Here is a 24155-nt window from a genome sequence, read left to right as displayed (position 1 = left end):
GTTGCCCCTAAGAAGTTAAGTGCCCTGCACTTCCTGGGTTACAGCTACATGCTATGGTTTGAGTGTCCCCTCCCAAACTCGTGTTGGAATTTAATTGCTATTTTAAAGTTTTAAGAGGTGATTAGGTCATGAGGGCTATACCCTCATTAATGGATTAATGCCATTATTGCAGAAGTGAGTGAGTTATTACAGGAGTGGGTTCCTGATTAAAGAATTAGTTTGTCTTCCTTCCGATATCTCATGCACTTGTTCGCCTTTCTGCCTTCTGCCATGAGGTAATGCAGCACAGAGGCCCTCACCATTTGCCAGTCCCATGCTCTTGGACTTCCCAGCCTTCAGAACCATGAGGCAAAGAAATTTATATCCTTCATAAATTACCCAGTCTATGGTATTCTGTTATAGCAGCAGAAAACAGGCTAAGACACTGGTGGAGCTGCTCTCCATGTCTTTGGAGAAAGCTCTGAGGCAGCAAAGAGATGCCAAAAGAAGCATTTGACAAAGAACTCTGGGAACATGCATGGAACTTTCCACATGGCTACACTGAAATAATGTAAACCAGAGGGATGTGGTATGGAACACAATTCTTCTCACCACAAAAGCCTTTATTTTCCCAGAACATATCAGAATTATAGCTCTTCTTAGAACACATAGAAGAAAAAGTTACTCTAACCAACCTGACCTTCTTATTTTATAGATGAGGGACAGACGTTTAGAGGGAGCATGACTTACCCAAGGTACAACACAATATTCCAAGAGGGGTGCACTGTGTTTTAAATTCCTCTTCTGTAAAATGGCACTTATTACAATATTTACCTCCACAGTGAGTTAGTACACCGTGTGCTTAGAACAGTATCTGGCATGTAGTAAGGGTTCAATAAAATGTACTTGTTATTTGCCTAAAAATGAGAGCGATTGCACACACGTGAACTGCTACCACAATGCCAAGTTCACACCATGTTCATAGAAAGACATAGCCCTTCAGTTCAAGTAGGTTACATTCTTAAAATGAACAGGGGCATGGTTCATTTATTCAACAAATATATTTGAACACTTGCACCGTGCTGGATGATGAGGGTATAATAATGAGTAAAATAGAAGTGATCCCTTCCTTTATGGAGCATATAGCCTGGTTCAGAAGACAGAAATAAAACAGATAACCTGGTAACTAATTAATTACTTCAAATGTGATGATGATTTTGAAAGAAAATTATATATGCTATAATATATATGCTATATATGTGGCCTCTTAGCGGAAATAATCTCTCTTTTGCTCTATGTACACACATAAATATCAGCCCTGCTGCACCCACTGGGGCTGCTAGGGAGGTACATAGAGAACCAATAAATGAAGAGACTGAGGCTATGTCTCCACAATGCCCACAGTCCCAAGTCAATTTAGAAAGAAAAATAATTAAGTTTCTTATCTGACATTATTGCCAACCCCCATCTACCAACATGTATCCAAGAGAGGGTCACTTGTATTTTTCCCATGTTTTGAACAATGTCCTTGGGCAAAATAACAGAAGACCCTGATGAAAAAAAAAAAAATGTTGGTTCTGGCATAAAAATGTTTAACCTTATGATTATATTAGCCACTATTTGTTAAACATCAACCCAAGTGCCATTTTGTAGGGTACTTTATATGTTATTCATTTAATATTCAAGAAGTATTTATCAAGTACCTACTGTGTGTAAGGCTCTGTTCTAGGCACTGGGCATGGCTCTGAATAACACAGGCAAAAATCTCAACCCTCTTGGGACTCACAGTCTAGATGGGGGAGAGAGAGACTACACGTAACAAGTAAGTAAATTAGATGGTATGTTAGCATATCAGGTAGCCTGTGCTATATAGCGAACCACCCCAAATTTCAGTGGCTTAAAACAATAATCATTTATTTAGCTCCTGATTCTGTAAATCAGTGATTTAGGCTGGACAGTTCTTCTGGTCTCAGCTGGGTTTGCTCCCAGGTCTGGAAGGCAGCTGGCAAAGTTGCAACTGAGGGCTCATACATCTGGGGTCAGCTAGACAAAACTAGGCCATTCTGGTCCATGTCTCTCTCCTATCCCTCCAGCCAGCTAGCCCAGTCATGTTCCCATGGTCAGACAGGGACAAAGGCAAACAACCCAATCCTGCAAGAAGGCAAACGGAAATGTACACATGCTTTTCAAGTGTTTGCTTACATCATGGTTGCTAACATCTCATTGGCCAAAGAAAGTCACATGATGGAGTCCAGCTCCAGAGAGGCAATAGTCTATAAAGTTACAGGACAAAAGATGCAGTTACAGGGAAGCCATTAGTTGGGACCATTAAAGAAATCACTTTGCCACAGATAGAAAATAAATGCTACAAGCATAAAGCAGGCTTATGGAGATGGAGAGGGTTGAGGCTTAGAAATTTTAAATAGGAGGGTCGGGGATCCCTCTCTAGGAAGATGACATTTGAAAAGCATTTGGTTTTCTTCACGTATTACTATATACTAGTATTATTTCTAATTATCACAATAAAACTACACATTATAAATTATCCCCCTTTTTATTAAAAAAAGAGAAAACTTGAAAAACAAAAACAAAATAAATAAATTAAAAAAAATTAGTTATCCCCATTTTACAGATGAGAAAATTGAAGCTCAGAGTTGCTAAGTTACCCCCAAGATCTCATAAATAACTGGTTTTAATATTAAATAGGACTCTTTCTATTACAAGCCAAAGACAACCCAACCCAAGCCAGCACAGGCCAGAAAGCAGGTATGAGAGAGCAGACTAACTGGCTTACAAAACTGAAAAAGCCATCAATAGATTGGCTTTCAGGCACATTTGGAGTCAGGCCTCTGACCCCGTCATTAGGATCTCATTTCTCTCTATGTTCCTGAGCCCAGCTTCTCCTGTTCTTGGGAAGTGTCTCCTGGAGTGTCAGGACAGTCAACAGCAGCTGCTCCTGATGTCAAATCCAGGAGGAAACAATGAGCCTCTTTTCTGGTAGTTCCCACCTCAGTTTAGAGATTCACTCCAGTTGGACCAGTTTTGATCCTAAAGACCCTTGACATTTTCAGTGGCCAAAAGAATGTGATGCAAAACCTTCCTTATGCAATCACATGCCCTCCACCAAGGGTGGCTGTCTTTTGACAGCTGGGCAACATAAGTGGTTGACAATTCTAAAATAAATGAATGAATACATAAATAGATCTTAATGAGGACTTAGTAACTTGACATGCATGAGTAGTATAGTCTACACAAGGCTATCTTCTTACCAAATAATGTCCAAACCCCCTCACTTCTTTATAATGAATGAGAATAACTTCTATAGTGTCTTCCACCACCCCAACACACACCCACCATCTTTGTGGATATCATGCAGCTTTTAAAGAATTGTTGATTTAACACTGCAATGCACACAGGTGGCTAATGGAGCGCCTATGGCACAGAGGAGGCAGTCACTTTACCTGAAGTCACAGAGCAGGCCAATTCTAGAGCAGAAAACAGACAAGTCTGATGTCCAAAGGCTACCAGGCCATCACAGAAACTCAATGTGTTCATCTATGAAGGAAAATACAAGTGAAATGTCAAAGGTCTCTTTCAGAAGAATCAAGGGTGATTTCTCCTAAAGAAGTGGCCAATATGAAAAATTTCATGCAACCATCCTAATGAAAGCCTTCTTTTAAGAATAATGTACATCCTCAACTGCTTTTCTGAATCTCACTGTTGGCAGTTTTGCAACATATCCTTTGAAAAATTTGTTTACATTGGATATCAAAATACATGATAACATGTGAGATCGTAATGTGACCCAAAGGGAAATGTGTTCTTTAGATTAATTCAGGTCAACAAACATGCAGTGAGCTCCTACATTGTTCTTGAAAGTGTGCTAATATAATATTATAATACAAAGATAACTAAAGCTTAGGCCATCTAAAGGAGTCAGGCATGTTCAATATCTAACCATCTTCCCTGCTGTCATTTATGAAGTCTGTGTGCCCAAGCACCTGACATGCATTATCTTTTGTAATCTCCAGAACAACCCTTCAGGTAGGTATTATTATTATCCCCATGTGTCAGATGAAAAAACAGACATAGAGAGGTGAAGTAATTTGTCCAGTTTCACTCAGGTAGGAAGGCAGAGAGCTGGGAATGGGACCCAGGCAGTTTGACCCCAGAGCCTTCCTCCATCTCCCATCTATACAACTCTGCTTCCTTCTAATTCCTGCAAGCCTTAAAGATGGTATATGAGTCATATTCACCAAGTGCCCATATTCTAACCATCCTTTCTTCTGGGCCAACACACTACATTAGGATAGTTATGCCTATTAGCCCATTTAGTCTGCTAGCAATTATGTGAAGCTGGTATTATTACCCTCATTTTTCAGGTGAAAAAAATAAGATTCAGACCAGTTAAATAGCAAGACTGAATGATTAAACATTGGTGAGGTGATCAGAGCAAGGGAAATTCAAGCAGGACCTTTCCCAACTCCCCCCAAAAAATGATTAGAGTTACTATTTATGGTGCACTTATTATTTGCCAGACTTTGTGCTAAATAAATTATGTAAGTTATCCTCACTTCTCTTTTTGAGAAAACTGAGTCATAGAGCATTTCACTGACTTGTCCAAAGGTCATACAGCTAAGCGGTGACAGGCCAAGAATCCAATCCTATTTCTGATCCTAAAAATTCTGCTCTTAGCCCCTGTGAGTGCACAGCATTTTCATATAAGAAGAGATGAGAACATGCCCCTCCAGTGGAGAGTAGATGAACAAACTGTGCTATATCCATATAATGGAATACTACATGGCAATTGAAAGGAACTAATTAATGATACATACAACATAGATGAATCTCAAATGCATTATGCTAAGTGAAAGAAGCCAGATTTAAATGGTTCATACTATAAGGACAGAAATCAGATCAATGGTTACCAGGGGTAGCGAGGGGAACTGTGGGAATGATGGATCTATTCCATACCTTGATTATGGTGGTTGCGTGACTGTATGCATTTATCAAAACTTTCAGACCTGCACACTAAGGAGGATGTACTTTACTGTTTGTAACTTATAGCTTAATTTTTTAAATAGAAAAAAAGAAAGAAGAGATGAGAGTGGAAGATCTTTTAGGAAGCTCAGCTGACACTGAATCTTCACAGAGCACTAGCTTTCTTCCTAGAAAGTGTGTTGGATGGAAACGTGTTGATTTCCTCTGCAAATATTTACTGAGCACCTACTATGTGCCAGGTACTGTATTAGGCATAGAGAATACTGTAGTGAACAGGACAGCGGGATTCCTCAACCTCTTGCAGCTTATATTCTGGTCGAAGTTTAAAAAATAATAACACAAGATAATTTCATCCGGTGGTAATAAAATAAGAAAATAAAACAGGGTCATAAGAGACAGTGAATATATGGTAGGTCAGAGGATATGACTTTAGTGATTAGTCGTGTGCAGGACACTGGAATCACCACATTAAAACTATCAATGAACAGGAATGGATTCAAGGGTTTTTTTAATCAAAATTAATACACCCAGTGAACTCTCATTGATCACGCATATATTATCTGCAGGAATGTTTTGGCCTCAGGGAGGTTTCTTCATGTCACCCAACATACAGGTCACCTTTCCCCAGCCACTCAGGGAGTGCTCATTAATTTTAACAATAAACTACAGGAAACATACTTAGAAAGAGAAATATGCTGGGGCAAGCGATCCCATTATTCATTCTCGAGACTTGGAGCAATGCTTTTTGGATTATTCACACGGCTGCTCCCGTCAATTCTAAGTGGATTTATCATCTATTCTTTTACACAATATTAAAACATTACAATTCCTTTCCAACCTGCACTGTTTGCTTAGCTTTGTATTTTATGAACAAAGCATTCCTCCCTTCCCCTGGACTCTTTCCTGTGCTTTATACCCAGGAAAACCACACAACCTTAAATGCTTTGGGGTTGGGTGGCTTCTTCCTGCAGCTCAGCCCCTTATGTCTTGAGAATACAATGCCAGAAGTCACCTCCCACATTTACAAGGTGTGTTCCTTCTTTGACTAGAGCATATCTTTTCTCCCTTTGTCCTTTGCTCACCTGGAGAATGCTTCAAGTTCAAAATGTCAGTATACAGTCAGCAATTGTCAAAGGTGAGAGAGGGAATGACTTTGGTAGTTTTGCAAATATACCATGTTGTCACCAACACCTTCATTCCAACCCCACTTGCTCCCCAGTGCCCCAAATGTATATCTGATGTGGGGGGGCCGGTTCCATAGCCATCTTTAGCTTCCAGGTTAAAGAACCTGGTTAGTTTGGTGATTGGCTCTGTAATGGCTCCAAGAGTAAGATCGCTATGTTATGATACCCAAACTCTTGCAAAGGTTGCAAAATCTGACACAGGTTGTTCCTGAATTTCCAGTGCTCAGAAAACAAAACACTTTGTCTTTTGTGTCTGTAAGCTGTTTACTCAGGGCTTTGATCGGGCTCCCCACCTCTCATATACAGAAATGATGACTCCCGGCCAGTTGGCATTGTCTATTTTAATTTGTCCACAAGCACATCGTTTTCTTCTTTAACTCTCTGTAAATGTCAAGACTCTTCACTGGGAACTAAAAAAGAAGTTGAGAATTTTGGGAAGCCTCTGGCAGAAGAGACAATAAAGTTGCTCCCTGCTAAAGGCTGATGTGCCCAAACAGGTTTAGACAATGTGAAAACCACATCTCAAGTGAGAATTGGCTATCCTGCCTTGCTTCTCCTACAACCTTACTCTCCCACCGGTGTTACTAGAAGGAGTAAAACGCATTTTTCCACTTGAAATGTCTGTGTGTTTGCTGCTGGACCTGTGGTCTTGGTTAAATTCTGTGACAGCGAGTGGTTTCCAAAGCAGTGAGAGGCAAATTGATTCTGTAGAAGTCATCAGGGACATGTGTAAATGTTAAGCCACAAAGATGTTCATGATGGCAGCATTTATAGTAGAAAGGAGGAGGAGGAGGAGGAAGAGAGAAGGTAGGAAGAAAGGAATGGATCGAGGGAATGAGGGAGGAAATGGATGGAGGGAAGGAGGAAATGGAGGGAGGGAAGGAGGGAGGGAGGGAGGGAAGGGGAAAGGGTATAGGAAGAGAAGAAAAAAAGAGAGGAGGAGGCCATCTAAATGTCTGATAATAGAGTATTGGCTGAATAAATTATGGGGTAGCCATTTGATGTTAATAACATGCAGTCATGAAAACTGATGCTATGGAAAGCTGTATGATGGAGGCCTGTAATCCTAGCACTCTGGGAGGCTGAGTCAAGAGGATCGCTTGAGCCCAGGAATTCCAGATCAGCCTGGGTAACATAGGGAGACCCGGTCTCTACAAAAAATCTAAAAAATTAGCCAGGCATGGTGGCACATGCCTGTAGTCCCAGCTGCTTGGGAGGCTGAAGTGGGAGGATCACTTGAGCCCAGGAGAAGGCTCCAGTGAGCTGTGATCGCAGCACTGCACTCCAGCCTGGGCAACAGAGGGAGATCCTGTCTCAAAAAAAGAAAGAGAGAAAGAAAGGAAGGAAGGGGGGGAGGGGGAGGAGCAGGGGGAGGGAAGGAAAGGAAAGGAAAGGAAAGGAAGAAGGAAGAAAGAGAAAGAAAAACTATATAATGGCATGAAATGATTTTTTTTCTCCTATATGTACCTGCGCACTAGAAGGAAACTAGAAATATTTGGTAAATGAATAAATGAATGTTCAGGAATTACTCTTAACTTACAAAAACTTTGCATTTATATGTGCAGCATAATCTCACTTTTGTTTTAAATATATATATAGATATAGAACTGGAAGGATATGCCCTAGGATATTAACAGCTTTTATATTTAGATAATAGGATTATGGATTATTTATATTTTCTTTGGGCCATCTGCATTTCTAGTTTTCTTCATCAAACATAGATTATTTTGGGAAAAAAAATCAGTTAAAATTTTAGGAAAAGCTGAAGAGGGCAGGACCACTGAGGGCGAAGAAGAAAGAACTCTAACTCCTTTACCAAGGACTTATTTTGCCCATTTATTTTCCCCTTTTCCAAGGACATACATAAGTTTCAAAGTTACTCTCTGCCACTGAGGTCAGTTTTTTGAAACTACAGAAAGTGGAGCAGAGCTAGCAACAAGGCTGACCTGAGATTCACCGTTTATCTTCCTTTCATTCCTTCAATAAACTTCTCTTGAGAGGGTCATCCTAGGGACTGGGGAAATACAGATGCAACCCCAGCCCTGTGGAGCCTACGGCACAGCACAGAGTTGCTCAGACTCAGCACTGTTAACATGGAGGGCTGGATTATCCTTTGTTTCTGGGCACTGCACTGTAGGATGTTCAGTAGCATCCCTGACCTCCACTCGCTATAGGCCAAGAGCACCTGCTTCCATTGTGACAACCAAATGTGCCTCCAGACAATGACAAACATGGGAAAAATTGCCCACAGATGAGAACCACTGGTCTAGCACATAATGATAAAATGCAAGAACTGCTACAAAGAAGGACTTTAGGAGAGTGCACTGAAGTGGACTTGGTCTAATCTATGAGGTCAGGAGATCTGAGGGGTGAACAGGAGGGAACTATACAAGACAGGGACAAAGCAGAGAGAATCCCATGGAGTGGAGAACAGTGCTGGAGAATTGGGGATCTTTTTCCGTTTTCAAGACAGGGTCTCGCTCTGTCTCCCAGGCTAGAGTGCAGTGGTACAGTCACAGCTCACTTCAGCCTCGACCTCCTGGGCTCAAAGGATCCTCCCACTTCAGCCTCCTAAGTAGCTGGGATGACAAGCATGTGCCACCATGCCCAGCTCCTTTTTTAATTTTTTATGGGGACGGGATCTCCCTGTGTTGCCCAGGATGGGCTTGAACTCCTGGGTTCAAGCAATCCTCTTGCTTCAGCCTCCCAAAGTTCTGGGATCATTTGGGCTCCATTTTGAGAGACCTGGCAGTTTGGGAATCCCAATCTTGGTGCCCTGGGTCTCCTCAGGACAACAACCTGGAGAGTTACAACCTCTTCACTGTGCATAGGACTTAAAATAGCAGTTCACAGGATGGGGTTTAGGATCAAAGAGCCCTGTAGTTTTCGTCCTGGCTCCTCTACTGACTAGTTGCATAATATTGGGCATGTTATTGAACCTCTCTGAGTTGCAGTTTCCCCATCTGTAAAATGGGGAATCCAATCTCACAGGGTTTCTTTGAAGATTAATTTCTTTAAGGCCCCTTGTGCAGCACCAGACACGTGCTATATGATCCACAGATTATGGCTGCTGATGATAACTCTTATTTTTTGAGCACTCATTAAGTTAACATACATCGTGGCTTTTACACATGACTTAGGGCTTGATACATATTATTTCATTTGATCTTCATAATGTTCTTTTAATCTTACTATTTAAATCTTTTTTTACACATGAGGAAATACATATAGCAAGGTTAGATCACCTGTTTAAAAATCACACAGCTATGAAGTGGCAGAGCCAGGATTTTCATCAGAGAAGTTTAAAGAAAGAGCTCATTTTCAGCCGGGCATGGTGGCTCACGCCTGTAATCCCAGCACTTTGGGAGGCCAAGGCGGGTGGATAAAGAGGTCAGGAGATCGAGACCATCCTGGCCAACATGGTGAAACCCCATCTCTACTAAAATACAAACAAATTAGCCGGGCGTGGTGGCATGTGCCTGTAATCCCAGCTACTCGGGAGGCTGAGGCAGGGGAATCGCTTGAACCCGGGAGGCGGAGCTTGCAGTGAGCAGAGATCGCGCCACTGCACTCCAGCCTGGTGACAGAGCGAGGCTCCGTCTCAAAAAAGAAAAAAAAAAAAAGCCAAGAAAGAGCTCATTTTCTTGATTCCATGCTGCACTGCCTCTCTCACTATTCACCTATCCATTGTCATAACATTTCATCATTCTTTTGCTGTGGAACAAATTACCACAAATTTAGCAGGTTGGAACAACACAAATATATTATCTTTCCAGCTCTGTAGGTGAGAGGCCTGTTCATGGGACTTAGCTGGAGTCTCTGTTCAGAGCTTCACTGGGTTGAAATCAAGATATTAACCAGGGCTGTGGTTCTCATTTGGGGCTTTGGGTGCTCTTCTAAGTATGCAGGTCATTTTTCTGCCAACTGTCAGCCAGGTACCACTGTCAGCTCCTATAGGCTACCCCAGTCCATCACCACATCCTCCACAGGCTTTCACAAACCTGGGTGTCTGCTTTCTCCCAGGTCAACAGAGACCCAGCTCTCTGAGTTCCACCTCTGCCACCTTCTCCTTTGAAAGGTCTCATGTGATGAGTTCAGGCCCACCTGGATAATCACCCTATCCTAAAATCAACTAATCTGGGGCCTTAATGACATCTGCGTACATCTTTCACAGCAGTACCTGGAATCACGTTGGACTGTACATGATTCACATACACGGAAAGTATGTGTGCATCAGGTCCTGGAAATCTTGGGAGCCATCTCAGAATTCTGCCTGCCATTTTTAATTTCTGTGTTTTTAAGCAGTGGTTGCTGACGCTATCAAAGAGAGTTGCCTGCCCATGCTGTGTTTCCAGGCCTAACACTGCCCTTCACACCCCTCCTTCCCCACCTTGCTCGGTGTCCCATGCATGCATACAGGAGTTGACCAATGCTTTCCTGATGGTGAGGTTTGGGGGCTGCACCTCAATCGTTATCTTCATCAGCTCCATGAATTTCCCTATAGTTCTTCCCCCCTCCGTTCTCTGTTAGGAAAGCCAGGTAATTCCCATTATGAAGAGGGAAAGTCCGTGATCTTGGAGCGGAGAGAGGGGTACCCGTGCCAACTATAACTAGGACTGATTCCAATTCAGCTGGTCAGTGCCATTTGGTGGAATCCAAACCTTATTTCTGCCTTCTCAGCCCTGACTTGCCCTCCCCCACCTACCCTCCCCACTACTATGTTCTCTGGTTTCCCCTGAAAATTCCTGTGTTCTTACGAGCATGCCAAGAAAATTGTGCTCAAACCATCTGGACAAGTAATCCCAGCGTGAAAATATCTTGGTGCTTCAGCTTCCCAAACTAAAAAGGTTTTAATTTGAGTCACCCACAGAGACCCGCCCTAAAACAGCCTAATTTTTTTAAAAAGGAAGGGAAATGAGACCTTCATAGAAAGGCAGCCTCTAGACTAGAAAATTTCACCCTGCCATAGATTTCTTCACATCTGATCTCCGTGAAAAATTCCACTAATTTTTCAAAAGTAACAAGTGAAAAATGTGAAAGATGGGATGTAGAGAATTAGCTGTACCACGTATGTGGACTAGTTTAAAGGTTTAAAGGTAACAGTCCTTCAGAAAAAAATTGTCAAATGAAGTAAGATTTTCGTTCCAATCAGACTATCTGGCATCTGTTTATTTGGTTCTTGATAATTTCAAGGAGAATATTGATACTGGCCCATCTAGGAATCCCATAAAAGAGTGTAAAGTGACCATACGCTAGCATATGAGTTAGACATTTTTATAGAAAATGGAAGCCAATATAATTCTTAAATGAGTGTATATTCTGCAATTATATTTAGTGAGATTAAAGATCAAAAAAATACTGGCTGGGTTCAGAAAGGTCAAAACACCTAGGATCTTAACCAAGTCCAAACTCTGCAACTGAACTCATCAAAGCCAACTCTCTCCCCAGTTGCCACTGAAAAAAACACAAAAAGGCCTGTGGAAGCCCAATGTAGATGAGCTGGGGTATGAATAGGCCAACTCCCATCAGTCATTGTGAAATGGCCTTGTTGTCTGGAGTAACAGCTGAGGTTTGTCGTCTCACGGCAACATGAGGTTTGTTGTCCCATGGAGAACAAGGACGCAGACACACAAAGAGTGAGTTTACGAGCAGGGGGTTTTATAGATGAGCTGGTGAGGAGGTGGTATCTGATTTACATACACCATGAAAGACTGGTTAGAACAGGTGTGCCATTTCTATAGGGAGAGAATCTCTGGTAGCTTCCACCCTAATCTTTTATTATGCAGGTGGGTTCTCTGCCTGAGTTGAGCCATGTTGCCCATTTCTTTATTACTGTACACGTGGTAACAACAACAAAAAAAGGGAAGATGGAGTCTCCATGTTGGACATGCCTGGCCCCCAGGTAGCCCTTTTCTGTTGGTGGAGCTACTAGCATTTCCCCGTGCAAGCTTCCAGCTTTATCTATGTTTGCAGCTAGATTTTTCATGCTGCTCTTTATTAGAAAAGGAATGACTTTGGGGGCTGCTTTTTGTTAGAAAAGAAATTCTGCCAAGGGCTCTTTTGCCCTCACTATCTGCCTAAATAATTTCTTTCTACCTCCTCTATCAATTGGTTAAGGGCTGTTCTCGGGGGGCATTAACTCTCTAGGATACCATTTGCCTGCTTCACGGGGCAGAGAAGACCCCAGCAGCCAAAGAAAGCCCTCAGGCAAGAAATGCAGGCTCTGATCCTTGAAAAGAAGATATGAGTGCCTGATATGTCAGGAGATTTAGTGAGGTGCTTCATTTCTCCTAAGAAGGGATGTAACAAGCTCTGCTCCCATTTTCTCTTAGAACCTGTGGGGGCAAAAACCCCACTACAGAGAGAAAAATGTTTCTTGACATACAAAGGATGTTCAGAAAGTACATTATGATATTAAACAACAGGATAAAGATCAATATCCTGAATGTGGTCTCTGGTATCTCCTCATCTCCTCTGTCCGTCCTCTGTGTTCTTCGTGATCCGCCACCCTGGCCTTCTTTCAGGGACTTAAACCACCCTGCTCCATCCCCAGCAGAAGCTTTGTACATGCTGTTCTCCCCACCCTAGTTTGGGGATCCTTTCTTTATTAGCTCAGTTTTTCCTTGTATAAAAATGCCTCCTGACCCCACCCACACCCCAGACTAGGTTAGATCAGAACTTACATCCATTCCAAATGTGTACCCATCCTTTCATTAGATCAGTAAGCTCAGTGAGGGCAAGGACACAGCTGCCCCCAATTCCCTACCCTATCCACAAAGTCTGGCACCATGCCTGGCACATAAGAGATTAGGGAACATCAGATGAATTGAATGGATGCTAGGAGAATAAATTCCAAATGTCAGCCATGCAAAGGGAGCCCATTGTAGACATTTGAGATGACTCTAGCATATACTATTGCTTTTGATTTTTTTTATTTGAATTGGTAATACTTTCACCTATACAAAATCCAAAAGTATACAATAATTTACCCTTTAAATCATCATAATGATTTAAAATATGCTCTCTCCTTCCCACCTCCCCTCCAGGCACCCATTTTCCCTCCTCTAAAGTAACCATTTCTAGTGTTATTTCCTCTACGGTAATCCATTTCTAGGGTCTCCCTCAAGAGATGATATCGGCACATAGACTCAGATACGCATATGAGTTCCTTCTTTCTTTCTGCAATTGGCAGCATACTGTGAATACTGCACCTTTTTTTTTTTTTTTTTTTTTTTCAGACAGAGTCTCGCTCTGTCACCCAGGCTGGAGTGCAGTGGCGCAGTCTCAGCTCACGGCAAGCTCCGCCTCCCGGGTTCACGCCATTCTCCTGCCTCAGCCTCCCATATAGCTGGGACTACAGGTGCCCACCACTACACCCGGCTAATTTTTTTGTGTTATAGTAGAGACGGGGTTTCACCACATTAGCCAGGATGATCTTGATCTCCTGACCTCGTGATCCCCCAACCTCGGCCTCCCAAAGTGCTGGGATTACAGGCATGAGCCACCGCGGCCGATCAACTTTTTTTCTTTTGAGACAGAGTCTCACTCTGTTGCCCAGGCTGGAGTGCAGTGGCACAGTCTCAGCTCACTGAAACCTCCACCTTCTGGGTTCAAGTGATTCTCCTGCCTCATCCTCCTGAGTAGCTGAGATTACAGGCACATGCCACCACACCCAGCTAATTTTTGTATTTTTAATAGAAATGGGTTTTCACCATGTTGGCCAGACTGGTCTTGAACTCCTGACCTTGTGATCCACCCGCCTTGGCCTCCCAAAGTGCTGGGATTACAGGCGTGAGCCACCGTGCGTGGCCTGCAACTTTTTTCACCTAACAATAAAACTGGAAAAAAGTCTATATGAGGATATAAAAAGCTTCCTCATTCTTTTTTTTTGTTTCCCAAAACTTTATTAAAATATTCAAAATTGGCTAGGCACAGTAGCTCATGCCTGCAATCCCAGCACTTTGGGAGGCTGAGGCGGGCAGATCACTTGAGATCAGGAGTTTGAGACCAGCCTGGCCAACATGGCAAAACTCCATCTCTACTAAAAATAACAAAAATCAGCTGGCATGGTGGCATGCACCGGAAATCCCAGCTATTTGGGAGTCTGAGGCAGGAGAATCGCTTGAACCCAGGACACAGAGATTGCAGTGAGCCAAGCCTGTGCCACTGCACTCCAGCCTGGGCAACAGAGCGAGACTTCATCTCAGGAAAAAAAAAAAAAAAAAAAAAAAAAAAAACCAACCCAAAAAACAAACACACACACACACAAATTCAAAATAGAGTGAAATTTAAGTAGTTTTACCAGGAATGCCTGTGAATACCCACCAGTTAGGTTTTACCATTAACACTTTACTGTGCTTGCTTTATCAAATATTCACCCATCAGTCATCTTTCTATCCATCCAGCAATCCATATTATTTGGGATGCATTTCAAAGTAAATAGAAAACATAAATAGACTTTTATCCAAATACTCGAGCAAGCATATTCTTAGTCAGAATTTCATTACTGGTTTATAACTTTTTACTTAAAAAAAATACCTATAATAAAATGCACAAATTTTAAGTAAATATTCTCTAAGCTTTGATAAACATATAAATCTTAGGTGCAAAATTCACTGAGTTTGGATAATAAATACTTTTGTGTAACCCAAACCCCTATCAAGATACAAGGTATCAACATCACCCCCAGAAACGTCCTTCATGCCCTTTACCCATCAGTCCCCACCTTTGTACCCTCAGAGGCAGCTCTTGTTCTTTTTCTACCATAAAATAGCTTTGCCCACTCTAGAATGTCCTGTAAATGAAATCATACAGTAAGTTCTCTCTTGCTTTTGAGGTCCATCCACCTCATTGCATGCATTTGTAGTTATTCCCTTTTATTGGTGAGTCATAGAATTCCATAGTGTCCACAGTTTGTTTACCTTCCTCATTCTTTCTAAAAGCTACATGACATTGATGATGAAACTTTGGGCTGTTTCTACCTTCTATGATGACAAAGAGAGTAACCTCCTACATGGATTACACGTATATAGGCTGAATTACTAGAAGTGGAATCACTGAGTCAGTCCTTATTTTTTGATTCTCAAATTTGAGAGCAAAACTGGTGCATGAGGCCAGGCATAGTGGCTCACACCTGTAATCCTAGCACTTTGGGAGACCGGGACGGGAGGATCACTTGAGCTCAGGAGTTCAAGACCAGCCTGTACAACATAGTGAGACCTCGTCTCTATTTTTTAAATAAATAAATAAAAATTTAAAAATAAAAAATAAAAATCTGGTGCATGACAAATTCAAAATTAAGGCACATCAGTTGTGTTTAAATGGCAGAGGACTTGCAAGGCATCTTATGAAAATGAGAACGGTGAATTACAATATCAGTCATTTCCCAGTTTGCAAGGAAGGGCACTGAAGTCAAATGTTTGCCTCTCAACCTGAATGCCCATGTTCTATTACACAGCTGAAAGCTGAGAGACTGGTCACAGACAACAAATTTCTATGAATATTGGTAGGTTTTAAACTCCTCTGGAGTGGATATCATTTTGTCCACATTCCTCTAGTTTCCCACTAAACCTTTTGTTTCTGGCAGACTTTATCCCTGAAACTTTACTGCAGACTGGCTGCTGGTCTTGCTCTCAGTCATAATCCTTTGTTCAAGAACTCACATCCCAGAAAGGCTCTGGGTTTCATTAGATAAGCTTTCCCTCCACCCTTTTTTCACACCCATTATCCCAGGCCCAGAAAGGTCGTGATATTTTCCTTACTTTTCCCCCTTTCCCTTTTATTTCCCACTGATAAATGGCAAAAGCAGCTGTAGGGTTTGCTTTGAAGGGTCTGATGGATGAGCATGATGAATCGGTGATGGATTAGAGCAGATGAATCACAGAAGAGAACACAAAAAGGGAACCAGGGAGAGCGGGAAGCCGGCTCCCAGCTTTACGTTTTTCAAACTCGCCTTAAAAGCCAGCATTTCTTTTAATCTGTTTCCAGTTTCTGCGGTGAGTCTGCATATGTTTAAAAGAAGGAGAGGCCGGGTGCAGTGGCTCACAACTGTAATCCCAGCACTTTGGGAGGCCAAAGCGGGCGGATCAGTTGAGCTCAGGAGTTTGAGATTTGCCTGGTCAATGTGGTGAAATCCCGTCTCTACTAAAAATACAAAAAAAAAAATAGCCAGCCGTGATAGCGCATGCCTGTAGTCCCAGCTACTTGGGAGGCTGAGGCAGAAGAATCACTTGAACCCGGGAGGCGGAGGTTGCTGTGAGCAGAGATCGCGCCACTGCACTCCAGCCTAGGTGACACAGTAAGGCTCCCTCTCAAAAAAAAAAAAAAAAAAAAGAAGGAGAGCGAGAGAAGTCTTGTGGATATAAACAGGGAATTCCATTCTCCAGTCTGACTCTGAGGATGCATTGTCATTCAGGGCGTTGAAACAGCTAGGAAACCACTTCAAGTCCCCTCAGAAACAACTGGGCAGCTCCAGGAAGAAGAACAGTTGGCAAACCAAGTGACAGAATTTAAAACTGTAAATCTTTAACATAAGGATTGACTAGCAAAATACAGCTGTTGCCGCTAGTAGCCATATCCTTGTTTGGAAGGAAAATGTATGCTTGAGCTGATAATCATGAACTGCTTGGTTACTGTGAAATGGTAAGCTTTAGCAGATTGGAATCTGGTCTTGTTTTGAACCCAAGAAAAATAAGAACAGTTATTGCATTGCTGTAATGTTTTCTGGTCTTAAAGGGACAAAGAAAATAAACTGCAGTCTGGAACTGCCGTTAAGATTGGGACTGAGAAATTCCAAGTCCGCCTTTGAAATTCAAGAGATACTTAATAGAGAAGAAAGGTCTTGGTGGGATGGATGATTCCTTTGTTTTTGAACAAGAGGGGCCCTCTTCCTCCCTAGATGGAAAGCCATTCAAAGGAAATCATTAAAGGACATCCCTTTTTGCACAGCTTAGACTCTGGCAATACATGTAAAACCAATTGTAGAATTGATGCAATTACCCAAATAATGAGGGCCGGGAAAGAAAGGAAAGGAAAAAATCTAGGCTTGGCTATTTGGCTAATTGCTAGGACCCAACAATTCACCCCAACTCTCTAAGACATCATCAACATGAAATACTTATTACTTTCAAATTTCACATTTTAAGAAAGGTAGAGGAAATATTAAAGGCTACAAAACACTGTGAAGCGACAGGGAAGAAAATCTAAGTTTGAGTTATCAAAAACCTTTTGGCCATAAGAGTTAGAGTTCTAAGATGATCAGTATTGATTCCAAGACTAAAGATTTGAAAGAGGCTCTCCCAGCATTGCTGAACACTCAGTGTGATTGAGCACTGGCTATAGGACAGCCACTTTGCAAAATCATTTCCCAGGATTATCTGATTTAATTTTTACCTCCTCCCTGTGGAGATTGTAGCACCTCTTTCTCTTAGAGACATTTAAGAATAAAGTGAGTCATTTTTAAAAACAGTTCTTTCTTCCCTGGTCAAAGTGGACCTAAAACCATTAAGTAGGGGTCAGAAAATAAATTTCTTATCCTCTGCCCCTCTTTGCCCCACCTCTTGCATTGGCTTTCTTGAGAATGTGGGTCTGCTGGGAGCACCTAGGGATTCCATGTCAATTGTTGCTCATGTCTTCGGTTCATTTTCACCCCTCTTGTTGCCAAATACTGGACTGATTCTTGGTCACAATAAGTTGAGGAATAATCACAGAAAAGAAGGGAATTGATGGAATTGCTTTGTGTGCATTTTGACCATACATATTTTGTACATCCACTTACAAGGCTGGCATAGCCCCCCATCTGTTTGGGAAAGTCATGTTAAATATAAATGAAGGTTAAATGATCAGTCAAATTTTTCCCCATCATCTTGATTTCAGAATTTAACAAGGTACCCAGACAGTAATAAAACTAACTCAGAGTCCTAAAGAATGCTGGTGGTTTGTTTAGAAGACGTCTCCACCTACATCTTATTTCTGACCACAGTGAGCATCTTATGGTTAAATATGTTTCTTTCAGCAAGTATTTATTGAGCAACTTTTAGTGTACCAGTTTACTTGCTAGATCCTGAAGATGCATTAATAAATAAGATATGCATTATACTTTTTATGCTTATAGTGCAGTAGAAGGCTGGCGTTAAATATATAATCACTCAGATACAAATATAGTTACCAACTATAATAAGTGCTATGGAAGAAAGGGATCTGAAAGAAAGAGAGCACGCAGAGTTTCTAATTTTGATGTGGTGTCCCAGAAAGGCCTCTCTGAGGAAGTGACATAGCAATTGGGGTCTGAAGTAAGACATAGCCACATCACAACTAATGGCAAGGATATTCCAGGCAGAGGGACTAGCACTGGCAAAGGCTGTGCAGCTGGAAAGCGTTAGGTTAGTTCACAGAATTGAAAGAAGGTTGGTGTGCCCATTGCAAGCAGAATGGGGGGTAAGGCACAGGGCCAGAGGCATGAGCAGGTACTGGAATGCCAGGAAGGGACTAAATCTAGCAAGGCCTAGCCAGCTGGCCTGCATAAACATTTATTAAAGCTTTGCAAGAACAATGAAGAGACATTTCTCAAAAGAAGACATACAAATGGCCAACAGGTATATGAAAAAAATGCTCAATATCATTAATCATCAGGGAAATACAAATCAAAACCACAATGAGATATCATCTTACCCCAGTTAGAAAGGCTATTATTAAAAAAACAAAAAACAATATATGCTGGCAAAGATACAGAGAAACAGGAACTCTTATACACTGCTGGTGGGAATGTAAATTAGTACAGCCATTATGGGAAAATATGGAGATTTCTCAAAAAACTAAAAATAGAACTTCCAGCAGTCCCACTGTTGGGTATTTATCCAAAGGAAAGAAGTCAGTGTATCAAAGGGACACCTGCACCCCTATGTTTATTGCAGCACTATTCACAATAGCAAAGATATGGAATCAACCTAAGTGTCCCTCAATGGACGAATGGATAAAGAAAATGTGGTATGTGCACACAATGAAATACTACCCAACAATTAAAAAGAAGGAAATTTTGTCTTTTGTAGCAAGATGGATGGAACTGGAGGTCATGATGTTAAGCAAAATCAGCCGGGCACAGAAAGACAAATATGGCATGTTCTCATATGTGTGAGCTAAAAAAGTTGATCTTACAGAGAAAGAGAGCAGAATGAGCCAGGCGTGGTGGCTCACGCCCGTAATCTCAACACTTTGGGAGGCCGAGATGGGTGGATTGCTTGAGTCCAAGAGTTGAGAGTAGAATGATAGATATAAGAGGCTGGGAAGGGTGTGTGGGTTGGGGGAGGTAAATGAAGAGAGTTTGGTTAATGGGTACAAACATACAGTTAGATAGAAGGAGTAAGTTTCAATGTTTGATAGCAGAGTAGGGTGACTGTAGTTAACAACAATGTATTGTGTATTTCAAAATAGCTAGAAGAGTAGGCTTGAAATGTTCCCAAAACATAGAAAGGATAAATACTTGGGGTAATGGATACTCCAGATATCCTGACTTGATCATTACACATTCTGTACATGTAACAAAATACCACATGTACCCCATAAAAAATGTACAAATATGACATATCAATTGAAAAAGATTTAAAAAGAGAAAAGTGTGGGTGGATAAGCAAAAAAAATATACAAAGTTTTACAAGAATAATGAATGGGATGCCATTTGAGGGTTTTAAGTAGGGAAGTGAAATTATGCAATCTACATTTTAAAGAGCTCATTCAGACAGAGGACTGGAGACTGGGTTGAGGGTCGCAAGCCTAGGTAAAGGAGACCAGCTAGGAGGCTGCTCCAGTAGCACCAGCAAAAGTTGAGTGGCTAGAGCTAGGGCAGTGGTTCTAGAGATATTAACTGGTTTGAGAGATTTGAGAAATTAATATTATTCCACTCTCCCTATATCCCTGAACAGAGAGACGATAGGCACAACCACAGAACAAAAGCAAATAACAGTTTTCAGGTTGTCCATTTGGTCAACCAAATGAAGTAATTCACACCTACCTACATAGACTGTTTTTCTAGGGAAAAGAGTTTCCTAAATTATTCCCATTAGCTGTTCTCATCAATACTGTTGACTGGCAATTACTAGCTGTCTAGGTGTTGACATTAGCACTAAGAAGTCATAAAGATTAGCACATCGCTCCTTCCATTGAATTGTTTAAAAAGACTCTCCAAGAGCCCTATATGAGTTGAGAGAGACACTGTGGGTTTATTTAACTACCAAGTGTTCATCAGAATTCATCATAAGCTTTATTATCCCTAGCATTAGCCCTACCAGGATGTATATTTAATCTTTCTCAACACAATCATTTCCTTTATCAGTCAGAGGCCACTCCTTCATCCCTGAGTCATGAAGTCTGTCTTCTAAACATCATGGCTCACAATGAATTTGATCTCCCATGCACAGGAACATTCTGTTGCCTGGTCCATATGAATTCTTTGCTGTCTATATCTGATTGCACATGTTGAACTGAGCTCTTGTGACCTGTACTCATCCTCAGCAGAGCTGAACAACAAACTCTGCTTTATGTATTATTTGTCTTTGCTCAAACCACAGCCCTTAGCTGGATAGAGTCTACAAGTTGCTTTCAGTTGAGTTGGCAACAACTCATTATTTGGAGGTCAAAGTTGCATATTCTGTTTCCAATAACACGTGCCTGTGATGAGCCAATAACTGGGGTGCCTGTATTTATGAATGAGCTATTGCAACACCCACTGCAGTCAGAGCAACACGGGGGTCACCCCCGTAACCAGAATCAGAAGGACTTTCTTCATCTTAGTGTATTGCTCAGGACTTGTTAGAATATTTTAATATTTTAAAATATTTTTAACATTTTTTAACATTAATAACACATTGATTCTCTACTGGAAGGTGAACATTTGATGGATTTTAGTGATGTCTCTCTTAAATTATCCCAGTTGTGTCTATGCACACACTGAAATGGGTACTCATGAAGACAATTGTCTGGATAAAATGCCAAGAGCTGAGATAAGAATCTGAATTGGATGCAAAGTCACTGCTTCACTGTCTCTTCTCACTTGGCTGGTGGTCTCTCTTTGCCACTTACTTCTCTTTTTTTTTGTCTTTTTCACTGGTGGCAAAATATAAATAACATAAAATTTATCATTTTAACCATTTTTAAATATATAGTCTATGGCATTAAGTACATTCAGAATGTTGTACAACCATCACCGTTACCTATTTCTAGAATTTTTTATCATCCCATCCAGAAACTCTGTACCCATTAAACAATTCCCTTCTTCCCCACTCCCTCCTCCTGTTAGCACCTGGCTTTCTGTCTCTATGAATTTGCCTATTCTGGGCCCTTCAGATACATGGAATCATACAATATTTGTCTTTCTGTGTCTGGCTTATTTCACTTGGCATATATTTTCAAGATTCATCCATGTCATAGTGTGCGTCTGAATTCCATTTATTCTTGTGGCTGAATAGTATTCCACTGTATGGAAACTATATTTTGTTTATCTACTCATCAGTCGGTGGGCATTTGGGTTATGTCCACCTTTTTGCTATTGTGAATAATGCTGCTATGAATATGGCAGTACAAGAATCCATTGGAGTTCCTGCTTTCAGTTCTTTTGAGTATATACCTAGGAGTGGAATCACTGGCTCATGTGGTAAATCTATGTTTAACTTTTTGAGGAATTGCCAAATTGTTTTCATAGCAGCTGCACCATTTTACATTCCCACAAGCAATGCACCAGGGTTCCAATTTATCTATATCCCACCAACACTGTTATTTTCCATTTTTTGGATAACACCCATGCTAATGGGTGTGCCCATTTCTTTTTAAGTGGTCTTATGTCTGTATACCTGGTCCTGTTGACGTAATCGCCTGACCATTCTATTCAATATGGCTGAAGTAGTTGCACATATAGATGCAAATTTTCATTCATGCAAAAACTGAAAAAAAAAATTTATCATCCACATTCAAAGTAAGAAAAGAATGATAATCCATGAGGGAGAGGGTAGCCAAGTGGCTGAAAGCTCAGCTTCTGGCACCAGACCGTTGGAATTTGAACTCCAGTTCTGCTCTAACCAGCTGAGTCTGTGTGTCCTCATGACAGTGAGCTGCACAATTCCTATGTAACTTCATCTCCTATGAAATGAAGATAATAATGATACCTGCCTCCTATGGTGATGGAAGGATTAAATAAGTTAATAAATGTAAATCACTTAGAACACTGCTCTGTAAATATTAGTTTAAGCAACACTGATGTAGTACATTTCTGGGGTGCACATGCATGAAGACTTTGGGCCTCATCTCATATCCCAGGCAACTAAGTCAGAATCTTGGTGGCAAGTGGGATCTGATTTTTTTTGAGACAGAGTCTTACTCTGTTACCCAGGCCGAAGTACAGTGGCACCATCTTGGCTCAGTGCCACCTCCGCCTCTGAGGTTTAAACAATGCTCATGCCTCAGCCTCCTGAGTAGCAAGGATTACAGGTATGTGTCACCACACCTGGCTAATTTTTAGTATTTTTAGTAGAGACAGGGTTTTGCCATGTTGCCCAGGCTGGTCTTGAACTCCTGGCCTCAAGTGATCCACCCACCTTGGCCTCCCAAAGTGCTGGGATTACAGGCGGGAGACACTGCACTTGGCCCAGGATCTGCATTTTTAATAAGCACCAAGTGTCCATATGACCCCCATGTACAATAGCTCTTAACAACCCCTGCCCTAACCCAGTCTCATCTTTGGATTTCATCTGACCATCAGACAAGTAGGTCAGGTTCCAAGAAGGAATCAAATTTATATCTAAAGATGCAAAATTACAACTGGTATTTTAAACTATTAGAACTAGTAGCCTATGAAGATTAAGGTTATTCCATGAAAGAAATTTCTTTTACAGTTTTTCAACTTTGTTAATTAAGTCGTGGCACTTTCTTCTTCCCAGAGGAAAAAAACAGATTATTTTTCCTATTGAAAATGACAAAGTCATATATTTTTAACCAATTCTGGTATAAATCATTTTAAAATCTAAAAAAAAATTACCCTTTATTGTTCTAAAAGATGATCCTAAAACTCTACAAAATGCCAGCACACTCATGTGGCCAGTCACCTAGTTATTTCCAAATACCCAGATGTGTGACATTAGATAGACAAAACATAGGAACTGAAGACACAACTTCTATCTTGACCTAAAAGGGCCACAGAAATGTTCTACTTCTTAAAAGCATTTTACACAATCCAGGGATGGAAGCTATTGTGAAACACTTTTCACGTTTTACATTTCAGAAGTTCTTTCAGCAACCTGGGTTTTTCAGAAGACTGGAGAGTTAAAGGATATGAAAACTTCACCTGGGCCAGCCACTCTTTTACAACTAGGCCAGTCTCATCAAGTTCCCACCAGGAAAGGGATCAGAATTTCCACTCCACAGCAAAAGGAAGTGGAACTGGAAACAGTGTGAAGATTTTCTTCAAGAAAAGGTGGGGTTACTAAACAGAATGTAAGAGAAAAGAAGTAAGCACATTTCAAATATAGAGCCCTAAGATCATTTTGAAAGAGGAATCACTCTAAAAAATTGCAAATAGTGAAAATATTTTGTACTGAAAAACGAGGACCAGAGACATCCTATCAGTGGTTCACCAAGATTTCCCAAAGGCCCCATAATTTTAGGGAGCGGCCATCCGGAGATACAGAGGCTGACTGAGAAATTGTAGCTTTACCAGCGAAAGCTTTCAAAAAAGTCTGAGTTTCATAAACACACTATCAGACCTTAAACACTTCCCAGGCCTATACCAGCATCATCAAGATCCAGAAACAACCCCAGAATATAAAAAGTAACAACCGTTATGAGGTTTTACCAGGGGCTAGACACTGTAAAAGTCCTTCTTATATGTTACTCTTCAAATCCTCACAACTCTGTACAGTAGACTCAATTTGCAAATTAGGACAACATAAAGCTCTTTCATTTGTTCATTCCATAAATATTCACTGGGCACTTCTTATGTCAGGAACTCTA

General features: G+C 41.2%; 1 long non-coding RNA gene across 1 annotated transcript in view; it reads right to left on the bottom strand.

Annotated features, from left to right (window-relative positions):
- Window positions 1–2016: 2016 nt before the first annotated feature.
- The window catches only part of LOC105377141 (uncharacterized), a 40002-nt gene continuing 17863 nt past the window's right edge, over window positions 2017–24155 (bottom strand). The window contains exons 2-3 of the long non-coding RNA XR_940934.2: window positions 3441–3534; window positions 2017–2130 (exon numbers count right to left, since the gene is read on the bottom strand). This is a non-coding gene — a long non-coding RNA (uncharacterized LOC105377141). The remainder of the gene's footprint in view (window positions 2131–3440; window positions 3535–24155) is intronic.

The sequence above is a fragment of the Homo sapiens genome, chromosome 3, assembly GCF_000001405.40.
Source record: "Homo sapiens chromosome 3, GRCh38.p14 Primary Assembly".
Classification (NCBI taxonomy): Eukaryota; Metazoa; Chordata; class Mammalia; order Primates; family Hominidae; genus Homo; species Homo sapiens.
The sequence above is the reverse complement of the archived record's forward strand: the minus strand, read 5'-3'. Positions and strand labels throughout refer to the sequence as shown.